At 37.2% G+C, this 22,115-nt stretch overlaps 1 protein-coding gene across 1 annotated transcript in view; it reads left to right on the top strand.

Annotated features, from left to right (window-relative positions):
• Positions 1-22,115, top strand: part of ALG6 (ALG6 alpha-1,3-glucosyltransferase) — a 70,927-nt gene that overhangs the window by 44,159 nt on the left and 4,653 nt on the right. The window contains exons 9-14 of the mRNA NM_013339.4: positions 141-276; positions 2,276-2,361; positions 4,088-4,172; positions 7,585-7,655; positions 16,948-17,016; positions 17,143-17,341. Of these exons, the coding sequence (NP_037471.2) occupies positions 141-276; positions 2,276-2,361; positions 4,088-4,172; positions 7,585-7,655; positions 16,948-17,016; positions 17,143-17,341 (646 nt within the window). The remainder of the gene's footprint in view (positions 1-140; positions 277-2,275; positions 2,362-4,087; positions 4,173-7,584; positions 7,656-16,947; positions 17,017-17,142; positions 17,342-22,115) is intronic.

The following is a 22,115-nucleotide window of genomic DNA, read 5'->3' on the forward strand; positions in this document are numbered from 1 at the left end:
TCCCATCTTAAGCCTATATTGGTAACATAGATTTGGCATTACTATACATGTGCATGTATTATGTTCAGTGAGACTCAGGTTGATTTTGCAGAATTACTGACCTTTCCCTATCTTACTGCCTACCTTTGTTTTTGTTTTAGGTTTGTGTTGCTAGTTAAGCTAGCTTGTATTGTTGTGGCTTCCTTCGTTCTCTGCTGGCTGCCATTCTTTACAGAAAGGGAACAAACCCTGCAGGTTCTAAGAAGACTCTTCCCGGTTGATCGTGGATTATTTGAGGCATGTTTAAACACTTTCCTCTCCTTTCTGTTACTGTACCTTACCTGTGACCTTTAGGGGTTTCATGTAGAAGGTACAAGGAATAGGAACTTCAGCTACTTTCCTCCTGTAATCATTCCTTGCCAGTTATTGCTTGATTGATTAATTGATTGGTTGAGACAGGATCTTGCTGTTGCCCAGGCTGGAGGGCAGTGGCTATTCGCAGGGGTAATCATGGTGCACTACAGCCTTGAACTCCTGGGCTCAAGTGATTCTCCTGCCTTTGCCTCCCAAGTAGCTGGGACAACAGGGTGTGTGCACCTTGCTAGTTATTTAATCCATTATATAACCCCTAGCTCAGGTGGCATTTTTTAGTATGTTCCATCAATAGGTAATATTCATGCCATCATCAGATCCATAATTGAATTATATGTTTTTGTAATGAAATAGGGTTTGTAATGAAAGACAGCATGAGAAGTTTCAGCTACAATTTTAACAGCTGTGTAATTTTTTGGTGTATATTCTGTTTTTAGTCTTAGGAAATTATTTGTAAAACTAATAATCATGTTGCTTCAGGAAGATCTCATAATTTCTTATGAGATATATAACCTTCATCCATAGTAATTTTTAATGAGAATCTTTCATTTCATTTCATTTAATGCTAGTTTAATCACTCTTGTTAAACTTTTATTATGTGAATAATTTGATCATTTAGATTTGGTAATTAAATTAAACCATTTTTCTGAAACAAAAAGGCCTTTTAATAAAGTTAGACAGAAACAACATATTTATAGATAATTTGCTAGCATTTCTTTTAAAAATAATTTTAAAAGCATATTTTCCTAAGTTTTGAATATATAAATTTCTATAGAATATCTTTCAGTAGACTTATAGGAAGATGGAACCAGCATTTTGAAAGCGACTAAGATGGGAGTTTGGTGTTGTGAAGGAACAGAAATGTGTGACTGTATGTCAACAGGATGATGGTAGTGATGATCTAAATAATCACTATTGTTATAACCACCACTTAGCAGGTGCCAGACACTTCCATGTAATTTTATTTGATCTTTACAGTAGCTTTGTGGTAGCTATTGTCTCCACTTTACAGATTAGAAAACTGAGGTCAAAGATTCCTATAACTAGTATGTAGCAGAACTGTGACTTGAACTTGGAAAATTGTTTTCCTAACCTCTTCTTTATATAAACTCTAACACTTACATAAAGAAAAGTTTAACTCTCTATGTAAGCTGCCTAATTATTTGCCTTACCTTCCATTTCAGAAATGGCATTTATCATGATAATTATAAAAATGAGTATCAGACATGTTTGATGGTGTTGCCAGTCTCTTCCATTCACTTCTTGCCTTCAAAATCTGAAAAGCATTTTCTTTGATCCAGCAGAGGAAAGTGGGATGATATAGTTGTCAGTGATAGTTACTTTTTTGATGTTAAGTCTGCACAGCTGTAAGTCAAGCAGCTGTGTAGAGAACGGATTTCACCACCAGGAGAGCTGTAGTTACAAACTTAATTTTGAAAGTGATCCTAGCACAACTGCTAATGTCTTTAGACTTTGATTTATTAGCAATTAGCTCTTGTCATTGCTAGTAGCTAGCAGGTTACTCTGTTACTCTAAGTAAATTCAGTTGTGTGATAAAAATGGGTCAAATGTAATATGTATTCTATAAATTGTAGAAAAAACATTTCTTAGAAAAATTTCCAAAGATGAAGGACTTTAGTATTCAGGGATAGTGCACTGCTCTTTGAAAACTATTAAGTATTTGGGAATGTCTGGATTATGGTGGGCCAATGCTTTTGATCAACTGCCCTGCACAAAAATGAAAAATGCTTGAGACAGTGTATGCGTATATGTTTATTCCTGGAGGATTTAATCTATTTAGTTATAATTGTGACTAAAAGTTTCACATCTCAAAAAGTTTATTAGAGATTATGGGCTGTACTTCATGGGTTTTAATATTTCTTTCAATTATACCAGAATGTAAAGCTAACAAATCTCTTTTAAGGATAAAGTAGCCAATATTTGGTGCAGCTTCAATGTCTTTCTGAAGATTAAGGATATTTTGCCACGTCACATCCAATTAATAATGAGGTAAGAGAAACAAAGTTTGTATGTAGTATTTTATAAGTTACTCTTTAAAAGCATTATGGTATTATTTCATTTATTTGGCATCATTAGGGAATGAGGTGTTTTTCTTTTCTTTTTTTTTTTTTTGAGACAGAGTCTGGCTCTGTCACCCAGGTTGGAGTGCAGTGGCTTGAGCTCGGCTCACTGCAGTCTCTGTCTCCTGGGTTCAAGTGATTCTCCTGCCTCAGCCTCTGGAGTAGCTGGGATTACAGGCGCCCGCCACATGGCCAGCTAATTTTTGTATTTTAGTAAAGATGAGGTTTCACCATTTTGGCCAGGCTGGTCTCGAACTCCTGACCTCAGGTGATCCACCCACCTCGGCCTCCCAAAGTGCTGGGATTACAGGCATGAGCCACTGCACCCAGCCGAGGTGTTTTTCTTTAGAGGATTTTCCACATAAAAGACCTATTGCTCTGTACAATAAAACTCTTCAACTTGAATTATTTTATGTGAAAATTTCTGAATTGTTACCTTGTTCTCTCCTTGAACAGAGAGTACATTAAATACGATTAATATTATGTTGAAGAGTCATGATATTCAGTGTGTATCAGTCAGGATCAATCCAAGAAGTAGGAGTAGGAGATCACTGTGTACTGTGTGTGTGTGAATTCGTGACAAGGAATTGGCTTATACAGTTGTAGGGCCTAGCTAAGCAAAACAGAAGTCACAAGGCAGGCAGTCAGGAGGGAATATCTAGGGGGGAAGGAAGAGCAATTCAGACCCAGATGCTGTTAGGGAAGGCCTCAGCCGTCTTTTAAAGGGCTTTTATTTGATTAAGTTAGGCGCCTCAGGACAAGATCCCTTTTGATTAATTTAAAATCAGCTGAGTAGGGGTTTCACATCTGCAAAATTCTTTCACAGCAGATTAGTGTTCAAATAACTGGGAGATGAGATGGGTGTGGCCTCTCTGTCTTCCAAATCTTATGAGAATTTCCCTTGTAGCCCACCCTAACAAAGGCATACAGGAAGGGAATTCTAGGGACATTAGTTCAGCCTAGCCAAGTTGATGAGTCAAAATCTACAACTGGGAAAAATCAGTTATTGTATTAGGTTATATACTTGTTTTCAGGGCTTTCAGGGGCTATTTCCCATAGTACTAAATGGTTCCAGGCCACTTTGCTTGTTGAGTCTGTCTGCTTTTTCTAGTTCTTTTTCCTCCCACCCATTAGCCATCATTAGGAGAAGCTCTAGTAGCTTCCTGCTCCCTTTCCACCTTGTTCTTTATGATTTACCATGGGCTTGAAAATCAGATAATCAATGTTTGTGAAATGAGGGCTAGAGAGACTCTTTTGTGAGTAAAGTTTATGAATGTTTGTGTTACAGATATAGCATTATCTCTTATACTTCATTATGTTTTCTTATTTTGAGTGTTTGATAATTGACCTTCAACTATGTATCTTTGTATATTTTCTATACATGATATTAAATACTAAAATAACAGAAGCAATATTTAGTTTTATCATGTTTGGTCTATATTATGTAATCGTGTATAAAAGTATATATATATATCAATGTGTAGATTTTGTTTAAATGTTATTTCATCTTTAAATTTAATAAATAAAAATATAGTTTGAAATAAACTTAAGTTGATAAATAATATGATCCTTATATTTAAAAAATATTTCCTTATTTAAGCTAGATTTATACCTCTACAAAGAAGACAAATATTTGATTTGTATTAATTTTTTAGCTTTTGTTCTACGTTTTTGAGCCTGCTTCCTGCATGCATAAAATTAATACTTCAGCCCTCTTCCAAAGGATTCAAATTTACACTGGTAAGTTTTTCATTACTTTAGATACTTAATTCTTGCCACAACTGATCTTTTAAAAATTATTTTCATGGTCTGCACAGGATTTATTGGGTTGGGAAACAAGACATTCATTTATTTGGCAGACATTTATTGGATGTTTCCCATACTTAGCTTCTGTGTTAGACACTAAGCTAAGCAATCAATACTCTTTCAGTTAATTCAACTATTTAATTTGTTTCGTATTAGTTAATGAGGGACTACAAAGTAGAAAACAGTGGCAATGAACTTAAGTAGCTTAAATAGTTATGCTATAAAACAGATGGTATTAAGTTCTATCAGGTACAAATGAAGTCCTATGATGGTGTGGGAAAGGGAGATATTATCTCGGGGGGAGATTTTAGAATGCTGTTTAGGGCAAGTGGGATTTGAGCCCAAATTTGAAAGTGGGGCAAGGTTAGAACAGCAGGTTATATAGCAGAAGAGAAGTTCAAAACAGAAGGAAGAAGTTGAAGGTCCAGAGGTGGGAAAGGACACAGGATATTCTGGGAATAGCTATTAAACAATATAACTTGTGTGAGTTTTGTGTGTATGTGTTGAGAGTAGGAGAGGATATAGTGAAAGATAAGGGTAAAAATTGACCAAATTATTGAAGACCTTGAAAATCTTGGTTGAAAAGGTTTGGAGTTTGATTTGTGTGCAAGAGAAACTAAAAAATATTTTTGAGAAGGAGAGGGGGCAGATCTCTGTTTTAGGAGGATGACTTGTGTCAGTTTGAAGATGGACTAGGTGCATTTTCTACAGTTTAGGGTTTTTCTGAGTAGCTTTACAAAGTCTTCTTGGTTGTGTTTCTATGGCATTTAAAATTTTGTTCCTGTGTGCCATGGTCTATAAAATGACATTTAAAAAATAACCTTTTAAACTATCAAGAACATTTAGTTTCTGAAAACAGTAAGTCCTACTGGACTTATGTGAGGCAACATTTAGAAATTAGGGTTCCAAGTCTGGGACTGCCATGTAAGTACGTTGGATAAAAACAAGCCAGAAAAGAACATAACAGCGAAATACTTCAAAAGTGCATCTCATTACCACAATGCAAAAAGGATAGCTTTATGTTCCTCTTTTCTTTTTCATTATCTTTTTATTGATGATTTGTGTTGTTTGATTCTGTGAATGAACTCTGAGCATACCAAGTCATCTGTTGTTAATATTCTATTGGATAGTTAGAACAGAATGGATATGGTGTAATGCTCTGATGTCTTCACTAGGCTTAACCTGAAATATCTTCCAAGCTTGTGATAGATTGTTGTTTTTCTAGGAAGTAGAATGCTAAATAAATGTACAGTTCAAAGATAATAGAATAGAATTTCAGAGTTTGGGTAACTTTAGCAGTGTTAGAGATGATTACTTTTAGGATTATAAGCCAGAAAAAACATTTTCTTTTTCTTAGTTTTGTAATTTTTTTCAGTTTGGTATGTTTTAAAAGAAGCCATTGTGTTAAAACTTTTTAAATGTAAGATTTTTGTTATTTTGTTTTTGTTAATCATGCTTTGAATTCTTATTGTATACTTCTGAGAGTTTTAAGAACATTTCCCATTATAATTGTTTTAAAAGTATTTTCCTTTCAATCATGTTTGCCTGAATTATATCTCAATATAAATCTATAATTGAGGTAACTGATAGCATGAATACTGGTGCATGTATAGCAGCAAAAGGATTTATATTTAATTTTTCAGGTATTGAGTGCCTTCTCATATGCCAGGTCCTCCTCTAGGTACTGGCATGTAAAGGAATGACAGATGACATCCCTGCTCTCTTACTTGGGGCCTTCCATGCTAGTGGCAGGAGAGGGACAATAAACAAGATAAATCCATTAACAAGAAAGCATCTGGGAGTAATGAGTGCTATGAAGAAAGTAGTGTTGGCCGGGCACGGTGGCTCACACCTGTAATCCCAGCACTTTGGGAGGCCGAGGCAGGTGGATCACCTGAGGTTGGGAGTTCAAGACCAGCCTGACCAACATGGAGAAACCCTGTCTCTACTAAAAATACAAAATTTGCCAGGCGTCGTGGTTCATGCCTGTAATCCTAGCTACTGGGAGGCTGAGGCAGGAGAATCGCTTGAACCTGGGAGGCGGAGGTTGCGGCGAGTGGAGATTGCGCCACTGCACTCCAGCCTGGGCAACAAGAGTGAAACTCCATCTCAAAAAAAAAAAAAAGTAGTGTTATGTGAAAAGAGAGCTGATGGAATGAGGTTAGGGGACACTTAGATTGAGTAAAGGAAACCTTTCTAGAGAAGGTTTCTATAGTTTAGGGTTTTTCTGAGTAGCTTTATTATTAAATATTAAATTTAATAATTTAATATTTAATAAATTATTAAATTATTAAATAATAATATTTATAAATATTAAATATTAAAATAGTATTTGAGCCAAGAAGTGAATGACCAACCAGAAGGAGCCAATCACAAGAAGATCTGGGCCCTGACTTGATAGAATCATATTTTTCCTTAAGGCAGGAACACATTTGGCAAAAGGAGATGAATGAAGTGGCTGCTGTAAAATGAGTGAGGGAGATACAAGAGATGAGTTGGAAGGGAAGGCAGGAACCAGATCTTGTAGGCATTGGGATTTTTTTCTAAGTATAATAGGAAGCTATTGGAGGATTTTAAACAGGAAAATTACATGATCTGATATGGTAGCTGTTTGGAGAATGGACTATCAGGAGGCAGGAGTGTTACCAATTAGGAGATTATTGCACTACTACAAAGATGGAGGGTGGCTTAGACCACTCCTCTGCCACCCTTAGCAGAGGGGAATGGAGAGAAGTGGATGGATATTGTATTTAGGAGGTGCTGTAGATAGCATTTGCTGATGGGTTAGATGTGTAGCATGGATAAGATTCAAGGTTTTTGCTTGAGCAACTGGATAGTTATCCATATCTAATTTGCAGAATATAAACTTCTCAAAATAGATAATTTTTTTTAAACTCTAAATAGCACATTATTAATTTATAAAACATTAATATATTTTATTGAAGTGCATGTTTTAAAACACCAAAATAGATTTGTTTTGCCGGTTTTAGATTCTGACCTTCTTGTCTTTCATGGTTTTAAATTTAAGTTGTCTGAGATTCCAGGGGAGGATGAATGTATGATTGTTGTGTCTGAGGTATTTACTAGTTCTGTTTATTAATAACTGAGTTATGATGAACTTAGATGGTTAAATAAAGCTTTATAATCATTGTTTTTTGAAAAAATATGTCAATTTTTTAATTTGATTAAAATATGCATACTAGTGTTGTTTGTATTTTACTTCTAAATAGAGCTTTAATAAACTTTCAACTTTCATTTGAAATGATTTTTATTTAGATTCTATAATTAACTTGATATGCTATTTCACAAGTTGTTATATCTCATTTCCCCCCCTTTTTTCTTAAAGGTTAGCTGTGCGCTATCATTCTTTTTATTTTCTTTCCAAGTACATGAAAAATCCATTCTCTTGGTGTCACTGTAAGTAGAAACATTTGAAATATGTGTTTATTTGTTTATAATATAACTTTATAATTTACATACAAATATACATTTGAATGCAAAACAAAACTACACAAATGTTATATCTTTGCATAAAATGATTTCATAGTCAGGTTTTTTTCCAGAATTTTTGATTTTCTTTATAAAGTGTATTTTAAACTGAAAAATTTTGGTAGAATGTTATTGACATAATAGTAATTTCTTCCTGTTCCTTCACTTATATTTTCTACATGCTAATAAAAAATATATCCTTCAAAGAGGTTTTCATCAGATTGGAGCCTGTTTGTCATCTTTGCTTTTTCATTTCATTCATTTCCACATCTATTCGGTAGCCTTCTTCTTTCCATTTACTTCCATGGGGTCTTTTGTATGTTGCCTTCTTTCTCTTTTTTTGCCACAAGCTTAGTTTAGGCCCTATTGGCAATCTGTAACCAGACTACTTTGTTTTAGAAGCATTAAATTTTTTTCCTGATGTTCATAGAAAGCAGTGGATGACAGCTGGGAGTATGATATCCTAATATTAAAATAGTATTCACATAGAACCCTTTGGAATACTGAAATCCTCCTCTAGGTCAATCCCAACCCACTACTGCTCTACCCCTCACCCTATGTTCACTAGGATCCTGTGGAAGATACATGTACAGAATGACCAATGACAAATGGCAGGCAGTATTGCTTTTATTAGGTGGAGCTTTGGACTAAAACCTTCGTGCAGAGCTGGGCTGGCCTGTGTGGAAGGCTTCTTGGCTCTAAATAAAACAGTCTCATATCATTGTAGACTGGGAAGACTGCTTAATGCCATCCTCTGAGGCCCAAACCTGAGTTAGAGCTTACCACTATTGTATGAGGCTAGGCTGACCCTACACAAATCACTGGTACCAGGGGATGAAACTGTGGAGAGGCATTACTTTCAAACATGTATTAATATATTTCCCCAGAATTTATACTCATAGAAAGGCAGCTCATTCAGGACCTATAATCTGACCAGATTAGTTCTCAGACACTGAACTTCTAGGGGTTCATTTTTTACAAATGCACCTAGATTATTTGTAACAGTGCATGGCTTTAATCTATTTTTGGTAAATGGTTTTACAGTTTGCATTAAAAGTTCCTTTTGGGCTGGACCTGGTGGCTCAAGCCTGTAATCCCAGCACTTTGGGAGGCTGAGGCAGGCAGATCATGAGGTCAGGAGATCGACACCATCCTGACTAACACGGTGAAACCCTGTCTCTACTAAAAATACAAAAAAATTAGCCGGGCATGGTGGCGGGCACCTGTAATCCCAGCTACTTGGGAGGCTGAGGCAGGAGAATTGCTTGAACCCAGGAGGTGGAGGTTGCAGTGAGCTGAGACTGCACCACTGCACTCCAGCCTGGGCGACAGACTGAGACTCTGTCTCAAAAAAAAAAAAAAAATTAAATAAAAGTTCCTTTTGACCTGGTCCCAGCTAATCATATCATTAAACAAATATTTCATTCAGTAAATATTTATTGAGTGCCTTCTATTTATCAGGCACTGTTTTGTGCACATGGGATATATTCCAGACAAAAATCCCTGCCTTCTTAGCTATCATTCTTAAAGATAGACACTTATTAAAAAAAAAAAAGAAGTGAGTGTGTTAGAAGGTAATAAATACCATGATGGAGAAATAAAACAGAGCAAGAGTAATTAGGAGTACTGGAGGATGGGATGCAGGTAGCGGTTGCAATTTTATTTTATTTTATTATTATTTTTGAGATGGAGTTTTGCTCTTGTTGCCCAAGCTGGAGTGCAATAGCGTGATCTTGGCTCACCACAACCTCCGCCTCCCTAGTTCAAGCGATTCTCCTGCCTCAGTGATCATTAAAAAGTCAGGAAACAACAGATACTGGAGAGTTTGTGGAGAAATAGGAATGCTTTTATACTGTTGGTGGGAGTGTATATTAGTTCAACCATTGTGGAAGATAGTGTGGTGATGCCTCAAGGATCTAGAACCAGAAATACCATTTGACCCAGCAATCCCATTACTGAGTATATACCCAAAGGATTAGAAATCATTTGACCTAGCAATCCCATTACTGGGTATATACTCAAAGGATTATAAATCATTCTACTATAAAGACACATGCACATGTATGTTTATTGCAGCACTATTCATGATAGCAAAGACTTGGAACAAACCCAGATGCCCATCAATGATAGATTGGATTAAGAAAATGTGGCACATACACACCATGGAATATTATGCGGCCAAAAAGAAGGATGAGTTCATGTCCTTTGCAGGGACACAGATGCAGCTGGAAACCATCATTCTCAGCAAACTAACACAGCAACAGAAAACCAAACACCACGTGTTCTCACTCATAAGTGGGAGTTGAACAATCAGAACACATGGAAACGGAAGGGAACATCACACACTGGCCTGTTGGGGGGTGGGGGCTAGGGGAGGGATAGCATTAGGGAGAAATACGTAATGTAGATGACAGGTTGATGGGTGCAGCAAACCACCATGGCACGTGTATACCTATGTAACAAACCTGCATGTTCTGCACATGTATCCCAGAACTTAAAGTATATATATATACATATATGTATATATATAATTTATATATAAATATCTATTTATATAAATATCTATATAAATAAATATATAAATATATAAATATAAATATATATAAATATATAAATAAATATATAAATATATATAAATATAAATATATATATAACTATGAATTTATATTTATATAAATATATATCTATATGAATATAAATATATATTTATATAAATATAAATATATATATAAATATATATATTTATATAGATATAAATATATATATAAATATATATATTTATATAGATATAAATATATATCTATATATGAATATATATCTATAGGAATATAAATATATATCTATATAAATATAAATATATATAAGTATAAATATATATAAATATATATCTATATAAATATAAATATATATATAAATATAAATATATATATAAATATATATATAAATATAAATATATATATAAATATATATATATAAAAGAAGGTGTATTAAGGAAATGAGGTGGTAAGTTGCATCAGATGCTGCTTATAGGTCAAATAAGATGAGGGCTGGGAATATATTATTTGCCTTAGCAATATGGAAGTCACTGGTGACTTTGGTGGGGCCAGTGTTGGTGGAGCAATGCACGGAGAAGCCTGATTAGGTAGGGTTAAGAAAAAATGGGCCGGGCACAGTGGCTCATGCCTGTAATCCCAGCACTTTGGGAGGCCCAGGCGGGTGGATCATCTGAGGTTGGGAGTTCAAGACCAGCCTGACCAATATGGAGAAACCCTGTCTCTACTAAAATTACAAAATTAGCTGGGTGTGGTGATGCATGCCTGTAATCCCAGCTACTCGGGAGGGTGAGGCAGGAGAATTGCTTGAACCCAGGAGGTGGAGGTTGCGGTGAGCCAAGATTGCACCATTGCATTCCAGCATGGGCAACGAGAGCAAAACTCCGTCTCAAAAAACAAAGGAAACAAAAATAGAAAAAATGAGAGGAGAAGAACTAAAGACAAGTAGGGATAATGCAATTTTTTTTTTTTTTTTTGAGGCAGGGTCTTACTCTGTCACCCATGCTAGAGTGCAGTGGCGTGATCTTTGCTCACTGCAGCCTCTGCCTCCCGGGTTCAAGCGATTCTCCCACATCAGCCTCCCCAGTAGCTGGGACTACAGACGCACACCACCACGCCCAGCTAATTTTTGTATTTTTGGAAGAGAAAGGGTTTCACCATGTTGGCCAGGCTGGTCTCGAATTCCTGACCTCAACTGATTCCCCTGCCTTGGCCTCCCAAAGTGCTGGGATTACAGGCATGAGCCACTGCGCCTGGCTGATAATTCATTTTTTAAAAGAAATATTTAAAATTATATTTTTAAAATTGTGTTAAAGTACACATAGCATAAATGTTACATTGTCAATTAGTACATTCACACTGTTGTGCAAGCATCACCACTATCTACCTCCAGAACATCTTCATCACCGCAAAAGGAAATCCCATACCCAAAGCAGTCCCTCTCCATTTTCCCTTCCCCGAGTCCCTCTAACCACTAATCTGCTTTCTGCAAATCTCTGTGGATTTGTCTATTCTGGATATTTTATATAAATGGAATCATATTATATGTGGTCTTTTGTGTCTAGCTTCTTAATATTTTCAAGGTTCATCCATGTTGTATCAGAACTGTATTCTTTTTTATGCCTGAATAGTATTGCATTGTATCGATACACTACATTTTGTTCATCATTCCTCAGTTGATGGACATTGGGTTGTTACCATGTTTTGGCTGTTGTGAATAGTGCCACTGTGAATATTCATGTACAAGTTTTTGTTTGAGTCTATACTCAGGAGTAGAATTGCTGAGTCACATGGCAATTCTGTATTTAACTTATTGAGGAACCACCAGACTTTTCCATAGTGGCTGCACCACTTAACATTCCCACTAATAATATATGAAGGCTTCAATTTCTCCATATCCTTGATAGCACTTGTTATTTTCCATCATTTTGATTATAGCCATGCTAGTGGATATGAGTGGTATCTCATCGTGATTCTGATTTGCATATCCCTAATTACTAATGATATTGAACATCTCTTTATGTGCTTGTTGGCACAATATGTCTATCTTCTTCAGAGACAAGCCTATTTAAATCCTTTGCCTATTTTTTTTTTGAGACGGAGTCTCGCTCTGTCACCCAGGCTGGAATGCAATGGCACGGTCTCAGCTCACTGCAACCTCCGCCTCCCGGGTTCAAGTGATTCTCCTGCCTCAGCCTCCCGAGTAGCTGGGACTACAGGCGCGTGCCACCACACCTGGCTAATTTTTGCATTTTTAGTAGAGATGGGGTTTCACTATGTTGGCCAGGCTGGTCTTGAACTCCTGACCTCGTGATCCACCCGCCTCGGCCTCCCAAAGTGCTGGGATTACAGGCGTGAACCACTGCGCTTGGCCGTTTTGCCCAATTTTTAATTGGGTTGTCATTTTTTGAGTTTTAGGAGTTCTTTATGTATCCTGGGTACTAGCCTTTATCAGATATATGATTTGCAAATATTTTCTCCCATTCTTTGGGTTGTCTTTTTTACCCTCTTGATAGTGTTCTTTTGATGCACAAAAGTTTTTAATTTTGATGAAGTCTAATTTACCTATCTTGTCTTTTGATTGTACTTTTGATATATATCTAAGAAACCAGTGCCAAACTCAAGGAAATAAAGATTTACCCTCATTTTCCTTCTAAGAGTTTTATGGATTTAGCTCTTATATTTATGTCTTTGATCCATTTTGAGTTAATTTTTTTTTTTTTTTTTTTTTTGAGACAGAGCCTCGGTCTGTCACCGAGGTTAGAGTACAGTGGTGCAATCTTAGCTCACTACAACCTCCACCTACTAGGTTCAAGAGATTCTCCTGCCTCAGCCTCCCAAGTAGCTGGGACTATAGTTGCCCGCCACAACAGCTGGCTAATTTTTGTATTTTTAGTAGAGACAGGGATTTAATTATGTTGGTCAGGCTGGTCTCGAACTCCTGACCTCAAGTGATCTGCCTGCCTTGGCCTCCCAAAGTGCTGGGATTACAGGCGTGAGCCACTGTGCCCAGTTGAGTTTTTATATATGGTGTGAGGAAGGTAGACTGTTCTTCAGAGGAGTTTTGTTGAAAAAGGAAGCAGAAAAATAGGGCAATAACTGGTAGAGAAAATGGGGTCAAGATAGGTTTGTTTGTTTAAGAGAGGAGCAATAAAGGCAGGGGAATGATCAGCAGAGAAGGAAAGCTGATGGTACAGGATCTCAAGAGGAGGAGCTGCTGGAGCACTGTCATTGGGAAAGGGAGATGGGGTAGGATCTAGAGCACAAATGGAAGAATTGGCATTGGACAGATGTGTGAAGAGTTCCTCTTTAGTAAAAGGGGTGAACAGGCTATATTGGTAGAGATGCTGGGAAGGGAGTAAATGTGATGGTGGGCATCTGTGAAAGTTCTGTTTTAACTGCTTCAGTTTTCTTATTGAAGTGAGAGGGAAAGTCATTAGCCAAGAGTGGGTTGAAGCTGTTGGAAGTAGGAGGGAGAAGTGTGAAACATTTTCTAAGGAGAGACAGAGTGTAAACAGATCAGGGAAATATATAGTAATTGCAGGGCACTTGAATATCATGATCATGTATTTAAAGTGAGACCAGTTAGTATGGGTAGCTGTTTTTCTCTTGAGCAGTTGTTCAGTATGGTTGGAGTAAGCACTGGTGGAGAGTTGAGTATTTCCAGGTTTATGGTTTTGTCTGGTGAGGATAACTCCCTTGCTTGAGGGCTTAAGAGTGAATGTATGGGAGTGATTATAATGATTGACCTTAGAATTTAAGGTAGGTAAAAAGGGAAAAGGCCATCGAAGCGATGAGGGAAAGTGAAAACGTGGTAGGAACAATGGATTGAAGATCTCGGTAGGATCAAAAGATTGTCGGAGTTGGAATATCCAAAAGGCAGGAGATAGTGGTGAGAGTCATGGAGGAGGTGCAGTCTAAAGTATGACCGTAAGGGACAGGATTAAAGATGAGATCACTAGAAGAGAGGCGTTATAGCAAATGAGAGGGAAGATCTATGTATATGTTAAAATTGCCAAGAATTAAGTCAGTTTGTAGAGAGTGATAGTGAGAAAGGAGTTGAAATCTTTGGGTAATGGAGGAAGCGGCCCTGTGGTTGGTCAGTATTTACAAGATGGGGAATAATCGGGGATAAAGTGTGATGAGAAGAGTTTCAAAGCTGGAGATTATTAGGGTGGAGAGAGGGAGAACTGGTAGGAAAGTAGTGAGGAAGATCAAGGAGGTTACTTCCCACCATCAGGCCAAGTCACTTGAAGACTGTGGAAACAACAAAAACAGGCACAGTTGAGAGGGCAGAGGGCAGTACTGTCCTCAGAGGAGAGAGCCAGGCATTGTTTCAAACAAGGTGGTAAAGGGAGGGGTTCAGAGAAGAGGTTGAGGATGTAGGGCATTTCACTGTTTGGTGATGAATTGTAAGTACTTTGAGGTTAGGAGCTGAGTTATAATCATCTTTGTATTCCTTTCAGAGCAGTGCTTATATGTAGTAAGTTTTTTTAAGAGACAAGGTCTCACTTAGTCACCCAGGCTGGAGCAAAGTGACATGGTCATAGCTCACTGCAGCCTCGGACTCCTGGGCTCAAGTGAGCCTCCCACTTCAGCCTCCCAAGTAACAAGTACCCCAGGCGTGCGTCACCATGCCAGGCTAATTTGTAAATTTTTTGTGGAGGTGGTGTCTTGCTATATTCTCTAGGCTGGTCTTGAATTCCTGGGCTCAAGTGATCCTCCCACCTTGGCCTCCAAAAGTGCCAGGATTACAGTTGTGAGCCCCTGCGCCGGCTGTAATACATTTTTTGTCAATGCTTGTGTTTGGTAAATAAATATTGAATGCATAAATGGGAAAGAATTAAACCAGAAAGAGAAAACAGTATTTATTGAGCACCTTCAATGAGCTTGCTATTAATATGCGTCCATTCTCAAGCAGTGAAATGGAAAGTCCTCTAGTAATTTCTTTCTTTGAGATGGAGTCTTGCTCTGTCACCAGGCTGGAGTGCAGTGGCACGATCTCGGCTCACTGCAACCTCCGACTCCCTGGTTCAAGCAATTCTCCTGCCTCAGCCTCCTGAGTAGCTGGGATTACAGGCACGCACCACCGTGTCCAGCTAATTTTTTTTTTTTTTTTTTTGTATTTTTAGTAGAGACGGGGTTTCACCATGTTGGCCAGGATGGTCTTGAACTCCTGACCTCGTGATCCGCCTGTCTCAGCCTCCCAAAGTGCTGCGATTACAGGTGTGAGCCACTGCGCCCGGCCTAGTAATTTCTTTTAGTAGTTTTCAGTTTATAATCCCAGGGTTTAAATCTCATATATTAGTTGACATAGGAAAAAGTCATCCTTCTGGGAAAGGGGGAGAATGCCCAAATCTTTATAGAGCACTTTTTAAAATAAAGAGATTCAAAATAATGATAACAATTATTCAACAACCACCATCATTAGGAAAGTTTATTGTATTTTAAAAAAGTAAACACTAGATGATACCTGCAAAGAGTTCTTTCAACTATTTAAGAATACAGGGTATTATTATTATTTCCATTTCCACTTAAGAAAATAGATTAATCATTTGCTCAAGGTCACACAGTAAATAAAGGGCAAACATGGGGACCAGGACTCAGGGCTTCACACTAGCAATGCTCCTTCTTTGAGCATTGCCACAATTGAATCCCAAAGGTACTGGAGCAGGAGTTGTGGTAAGGAGGTTACAGGGCTTAGAGCTATGACCCTAAACAACTTTTTTTTTTTTTTTTTTTTTTTGGAGATGGAGTCTCGCCCTGTCATCTCACTCTGTTGCCCAGGCTGGAGTGCAGTGGTGTGATCTCAGCTCACTGCAACCTCCTCCTCCCGGGTTCAAGCAGTTCTCCTGCTTCAGCCTCCCAAGTAGCTGGGATTACAGGCACGCACCACCAAGCCCAGCTAATTTTTTTTGTATTTTTAGTAGCGATGGGGTTTCACCATGTTGGCCAGGCTGGTCTCGAACTCCTGACCTCAAGTGATCTACCAGCCTTGGCCTACCAAAGTACTGGGATTACAGGCCTGAGCCACTGTGCCTGGCCCCTAAACAATTCTTTGATAAAGCCAGTGGTTCTGTTTATTGGCATTGTGCTTCCTGTTCCTATACTATTTCCCTTTTTATGTAGCTCTTCCTACTAATTTCTTCCTCCTTTTAATTTTATTATTATCAATTTGTTTTCCTTTATCCTCTTGTCTCTCTTGTCCTCTCCAGTGGCATGATGATGTTGTCTGCCATATCTTTAGTTTTAACTTAGCGGAGTAATATGTAACATGAAAGAACATAAAAGAGATGTTTGAAAACAATACTGGGAATTCATATTTACCAAGTACTACGAAATATGTGACAAAGCCTTCTCAGATTTGTTTATCTGATCCTTTTCTTAAGCTACTTGTTTGTATGATAGAGAAAAAAAGTTCCATTAACGGCATACTGGAAGCAGCAGTTTTCCAATTATTATGAGGAGTTGACACCTCTGTGCCTGTGTCTAGGCTAATTTAGTCTGGACTGTTAACAAAATGAATCAGTAGTCCATATGAAGACCTTCCTGGCTGTTTTTAAGCTACCGCTGAAAATCAGACAGATAAAATGTATTTATATTTTTTACAATTAGGAGTTGAAGTTATATTCTGTAATATTAAAATATTTTTTTCTTTACGATTTTAGACCAGTCTGCTTAGTTTTAAGTGAAATTCCTTTTATGTCTACTTGGTTTTTACTTGTGTCAACATTTAGGTAAGTCATATCAATTTCCATATATTTTCAGTATAATTCTTGTAAACTAATTTAAAACTTTTTTATGAAGTGGTTATGGTTTGAATTGATAATTCTCTTGTGATTTTTAAAAATTTTCCTTTACAGTATGCTACCTCTTCTATTGAAGGATGAACTCCTAATGCCCTCTGTTGTGACAACAATGGCATTTTTTATAGCTTGTGTAACTTCCTTTTCAATATTTGAAAAGACTTCTGAAGAAGAACTGCAGTTGAAATCCTTTTCCATTTCTGTGAGGAAATATCTTCCATGTTTTACATTTCTTTCCAGAATTATACAATATTTGGTAAGTTCAATTTTTAAGAAATGACACATTTTTCAGCATGTCACTATTTTAAAAAATTATTGAAGTAGTGATTTTCTTTTATACCTTTTTGAGATATAATTCACATAAATCCACTCATTTAAAGTATACAACTTAGTGGTTTTAAGTATGTAAACAGATTTGCACAACTATCACCATCATCTAATTTTACATTATTTTGTCACTCCCAGAAGAAATTCTGTACCCATTAGCATTCATTCCCAATTCTATTCTCACTCCTAACTCCCTTCCTTGGACAGCCAGTTTCTGCCTCTTTAGATTTGCCTACTTTGGACATTGCATATAAATGGAATGTATTAGTCTGTGATAGCTGCCATAACAAAATACAACAGAAATTTATTTTCTTACAGTTCTAGAGACTAAAAGTTCAAGATCAAGATCAAGGTTCTACCATCAGGGTTGGTTTCTGGTGAGGCCTCTCTTCCTGGCTTGTAGAAGGTCTCTGCTTTATGTGTCACACATGGAGAGAGACCTCTGTTGTCTCTTCCTTTTCTTGTAAGGACACCAGTACTACTGGATTAGGGCCCCATTCTTATCATCTAATTTAACCTTATTTACCTCCTAAAAGGCTATATCTCCAAATAACAGTCACATTGGGGGTTAGGGCTTCAACATATGAATTTTAATTCAGTCCATAACATGGGATAATAAAATTGTGGTCTTTATGACTCGGTTCTTTCACTTAGTGTGTGTGTGTGTGTGTGTGTGTGTGTGTGTGTATTTATTTATTTTTTTGAGACAGAGTCTTGCTCTGTCACTCAGGCTAGAGTGCAGTGGCATGATCTTGTCTCACTGCAACCTCTGCCTCCTGGATTCAAGCAATTCTCCTGCCTCAGCCTCCCTAGTAGCTGGAACTACAGGCATGCGCCACCATGCCCAGCTAAATTTTGTATTTTTAGTAGAGATGGGATTTCAGTATGTCGGCCAAGCTGTTCTTGAACTCCTGACCTCATGATCTGCCGGCCTTGGCCTCCCAAAGTGCTGGGATTACAGGCATGAGCCACTGCGCCCAGTCACTTAGCATATTTTTGAGGTTCATTTGTTATAGCATATATCAGTACTTTATTCCTTTTTATTACCAAATTATATTCCATTATATGGATATACCACATTTTGTTTATCCATTCATGAATTAATGGACATGAAGTTGTTTCTACTTTTTTAGTGTTATGAATATAATAATGCTGTTGTGAACATTTGTTTACAAGGTATTGAGTGCACATATGTTTTCATTTCCCTTATGTGTATACCTGGGAGTAGAATTGCTAGATCATATGGTAATTCTATGTTTAACATCTTCAGAAACTGCCAAACTGTTTTCCAAAGTGCAGCACAATTCTTCATTCTCACCAACAATGTGTGAGGGTTCTAATTTCTTCACATCTTTCACAGCATTTGTTGTCTTTTTAATTATAACCATCCTAGTGGGTGTGAGGTGGTATTTCATTGGAGTGCTGACTTGCATTTCCCTAATGACTAATGATGTTGAACATCTTTTCATGTGCTTATCGGCCATTTGTATATCTTCTTTGGAGAAATGCCTATTCAAATCCTTTGCCCATTTTAAACTGGGTTGTCTTTTTGAGTTGTAAGAGTTTTTTTAATATATATTCTTGATATGAGTTCCTTACCAGATATTTAACTTGCAAATATCCTCTCCCATTCTGTGTGTTGCCTTTTCACTTTCTTGATGGTATCATTTGCAGCAGAAAAGTTTTGATTTTGATAACATCCAGTATATCTATTTTTTTCTTTTGTTGTGCTTTTGGTGTCATATCTAAGAAACCATTGTATAACCAGTGGTCACAAATATTTACCCCTGTATTTTCTTCTAAGAGTTTTATAGTTTTTAAATCTATGCCTTTGAGTTGCTTTGAGTTAATATTGTATATGGTGTGAGGTAGGAGTCTGACTTTATTCAATTATTTCAGTTCCATTGAATTGTCTTGGCACTCTTGTTGAAAATCAGTTGTTCTTAAATGTAAGGGTTTATTTCTGGAATCTCAGTTCTGTTCCATTGATCTATATGTCTATCCTTATGCCACTGCCATACTGTCTTGTTTACTGTAGCTTTGTAGTTAGTTTTGAAATTGAAAATGCAAGTCCACTGATTTTGTTCTTTTACAAGATTGTTTTATCTATTTTACATCCCTTTATTTTCATATTATTTTTAGAAGTTCATCAGTTTTCTCCCAAAACTCAGCTGAGATTTTGATAGGGACTGAGTCGATTCTGCATATCAATTTGTGGAATATTGCTTTATTTTTTTGAGACAAGGTCTCACTTTGTTGCCCAGATTGGAGTGCAATGGTGTGATCTTGGCTCACTGCAACCTCTGCCTCCCAGGCTCAAGCAGTCTTCCCACCTCAGCCCCCTTAATAGCTGGGACTATGGGCCTGTGCCACCACACCCGGCTAATTTTTTTAGAGACGGAGTTTCACCATGAATATTGCCGTCTTAATATTTAGTCTTCCAATGAACAAACACAGGATGTGTTTCCATTTATTTAGATATTTAATTTCTTTCAACAATGTTTTGTAGTTTTCAGTGTATAAGTTTTGGACTTCTTTTGTTAAATTTATTCTTAAGTATAACGAATGATCCTAAAGCATAATTCTTTATGATGCTATTGTAAAGGAATTGTTTTCTTAATTTCATTTTCATAATGTTCATTGCTACTATATACAAATATATTTTTGTATATTCAACTTGTATTCTTCGGCATAGGTTTTTAATGGATTTCCTACAGTTTTCAATATACAAGATAATGTAATCTGCAAACCATGAGTTTTACTTCTTCCTTTCTAATGTGGATGACTTTTATCTTTTATTTCTCTTACTTGCCTAATTGCCCTAGGACCTATAAGACAGTGTTGAATACAGGTAACAAGAGTGGACATCTTCTCTTTTACTTGATATTAGAGGGAAAGCATCTGGTCTGTCACCATTAACTATGATGTTAACTGTGGGCTTTTTAAAATAGATGTCTTTTATCTGGTTGAGGAAGTTCTCTTCAATTCCTAGTTTACATGTTTTTCTCATGAAAAAATGCTGGATTCTGTCTAATTCTTTTTCTGCATCTTTGGTCATGTGTGTTTTTTTTCTTTTATTCTATTATATGACATATTTCATTGATTGATTTTTGTATGTTACACTAACCTTGAATTCCTAGGATAAATCCTACTGGATCATGGTGTATAATTCTTTTTATCTGCCACTGGCTTCAGTTTGACAGTATTCTGTTGATGATTTTTGCATTTATATTCATAAGAGACACTAACATGTAGTTTTCATGTGACGTCTTTGTCTACTCATAAAGTTCATATATTTAAGGCATATCACATTACATTCAAGGCTAAAATGCTAGATTGCAATGTATTTGAGGTCAAGAACTCTGCATTTTATACATGCCATTTTATCTGTAGCATCTATCAGTGCCTCACAAAGAATAGGTGCTCTGATTTTTGTTTGTTGAATGAATGAATATTCATCTAATTATTATAATGAAAAATTAGAGGCAGCTCAATTATCCAGTAGTTGAAAAATGATACATGAATAAGTATATAAGCTCCACGGAATATTTGACAACTACTACAAATGTTATGAAGTTGTTGTTGTTGAGACAGGATCTCACTCTGTTGCCTAGGCGGGAGTGCGGTGGTGCATTTTTAACTCACTGCAACCTGGAACTCCTGGGCCCAAGTGATCCTCCTTCCTCAGCCTCCTGAGTAGCTAGGATTATAGGCATGCACCATCATGCTTGCCTAATTTTTATTTTTTATTTTATTCTTTTTGAGATGGAGTTTCACTCTTGTTGCCCAGGCTGGAGTGCAATGGCACGAACTTGGCTCACTGCAACCTCAACCTCCTGGGTTTATGCAATTCTTCTGCCTCAGCCTCCTGAGTAGCTGGGACTACAGGCACGTGCCACCACACCCTGCCAATTTTTGTATTTTTAATAGAGACGGGGTTTCACCATATTGGCCAGGCTGGTCTCGAACTCCTGACCTCGTGATCCACCCGCCTCAGCCTCCCAAAGTGCTGGGATTACAGGCGTGAGCTACCGCGCCCAGCCCAACAGGCTATACTTATTTATATTTTTGAGTACTACATAGAGGATTGCCCAAAGTACCCAGATAACAAAGAGAAAAGAATGACTAACTCTATTAGGGGAGTGTAGGGGAAGGTTTCAAAGGAGATATTTTATATTTAGATCTTGTAGGAAGACAAGGCAGGTATTCTCAGGGCAGAGTTGAATGGGTGTCCTGAGGGTTTTGCACTTTAGGTAATGACCATGGAGGATAGTGGTGTGGGAGGTAGGAAGTTAAGAGGTGAACAGGAAAGACAAGGAGAGGATTAACTTTACTCAGGGGTTCAAATGGAAAGTAGATATAAAGTTCATTTTTTGTTAGTATAGGCCCAGATTCCTGAGTGTATGTCAAAATCTAGCCCTATTGTGATATTCACAATCTGGTCCAGTAATCTTAAGGTGAGGACCGCTATGGGCTCCCAGATTTATTTGTTCTTTAATAGTTTTTGAGCACTTACTATATGCAAGCATTGTTCTGGAGGCTGAGGATACGGTAGTGACCAAAACTAACAGAAATCCCTGCTCCCATGGAGGTTGCATTCTAGTGGAGAAATCCAGCACCAGCATATGTAAAATATATGGCATGTCAGAGGGTGATAAGTGCTATGGAGAACAACAAAGCAAGGGAGAAATCGATATGATATG

This window comes from Homo sapiens, chromosome 1 (assembly GCF_000001405.40).
Source record: "Homo sapiens chromosome 1, GRCh38.p14 Primary Assembly".
NCBI lineage: Eukaryota > Metazoa > Chordata > Mammalia > Primates > Hominidae > Homo > Homo sapiens.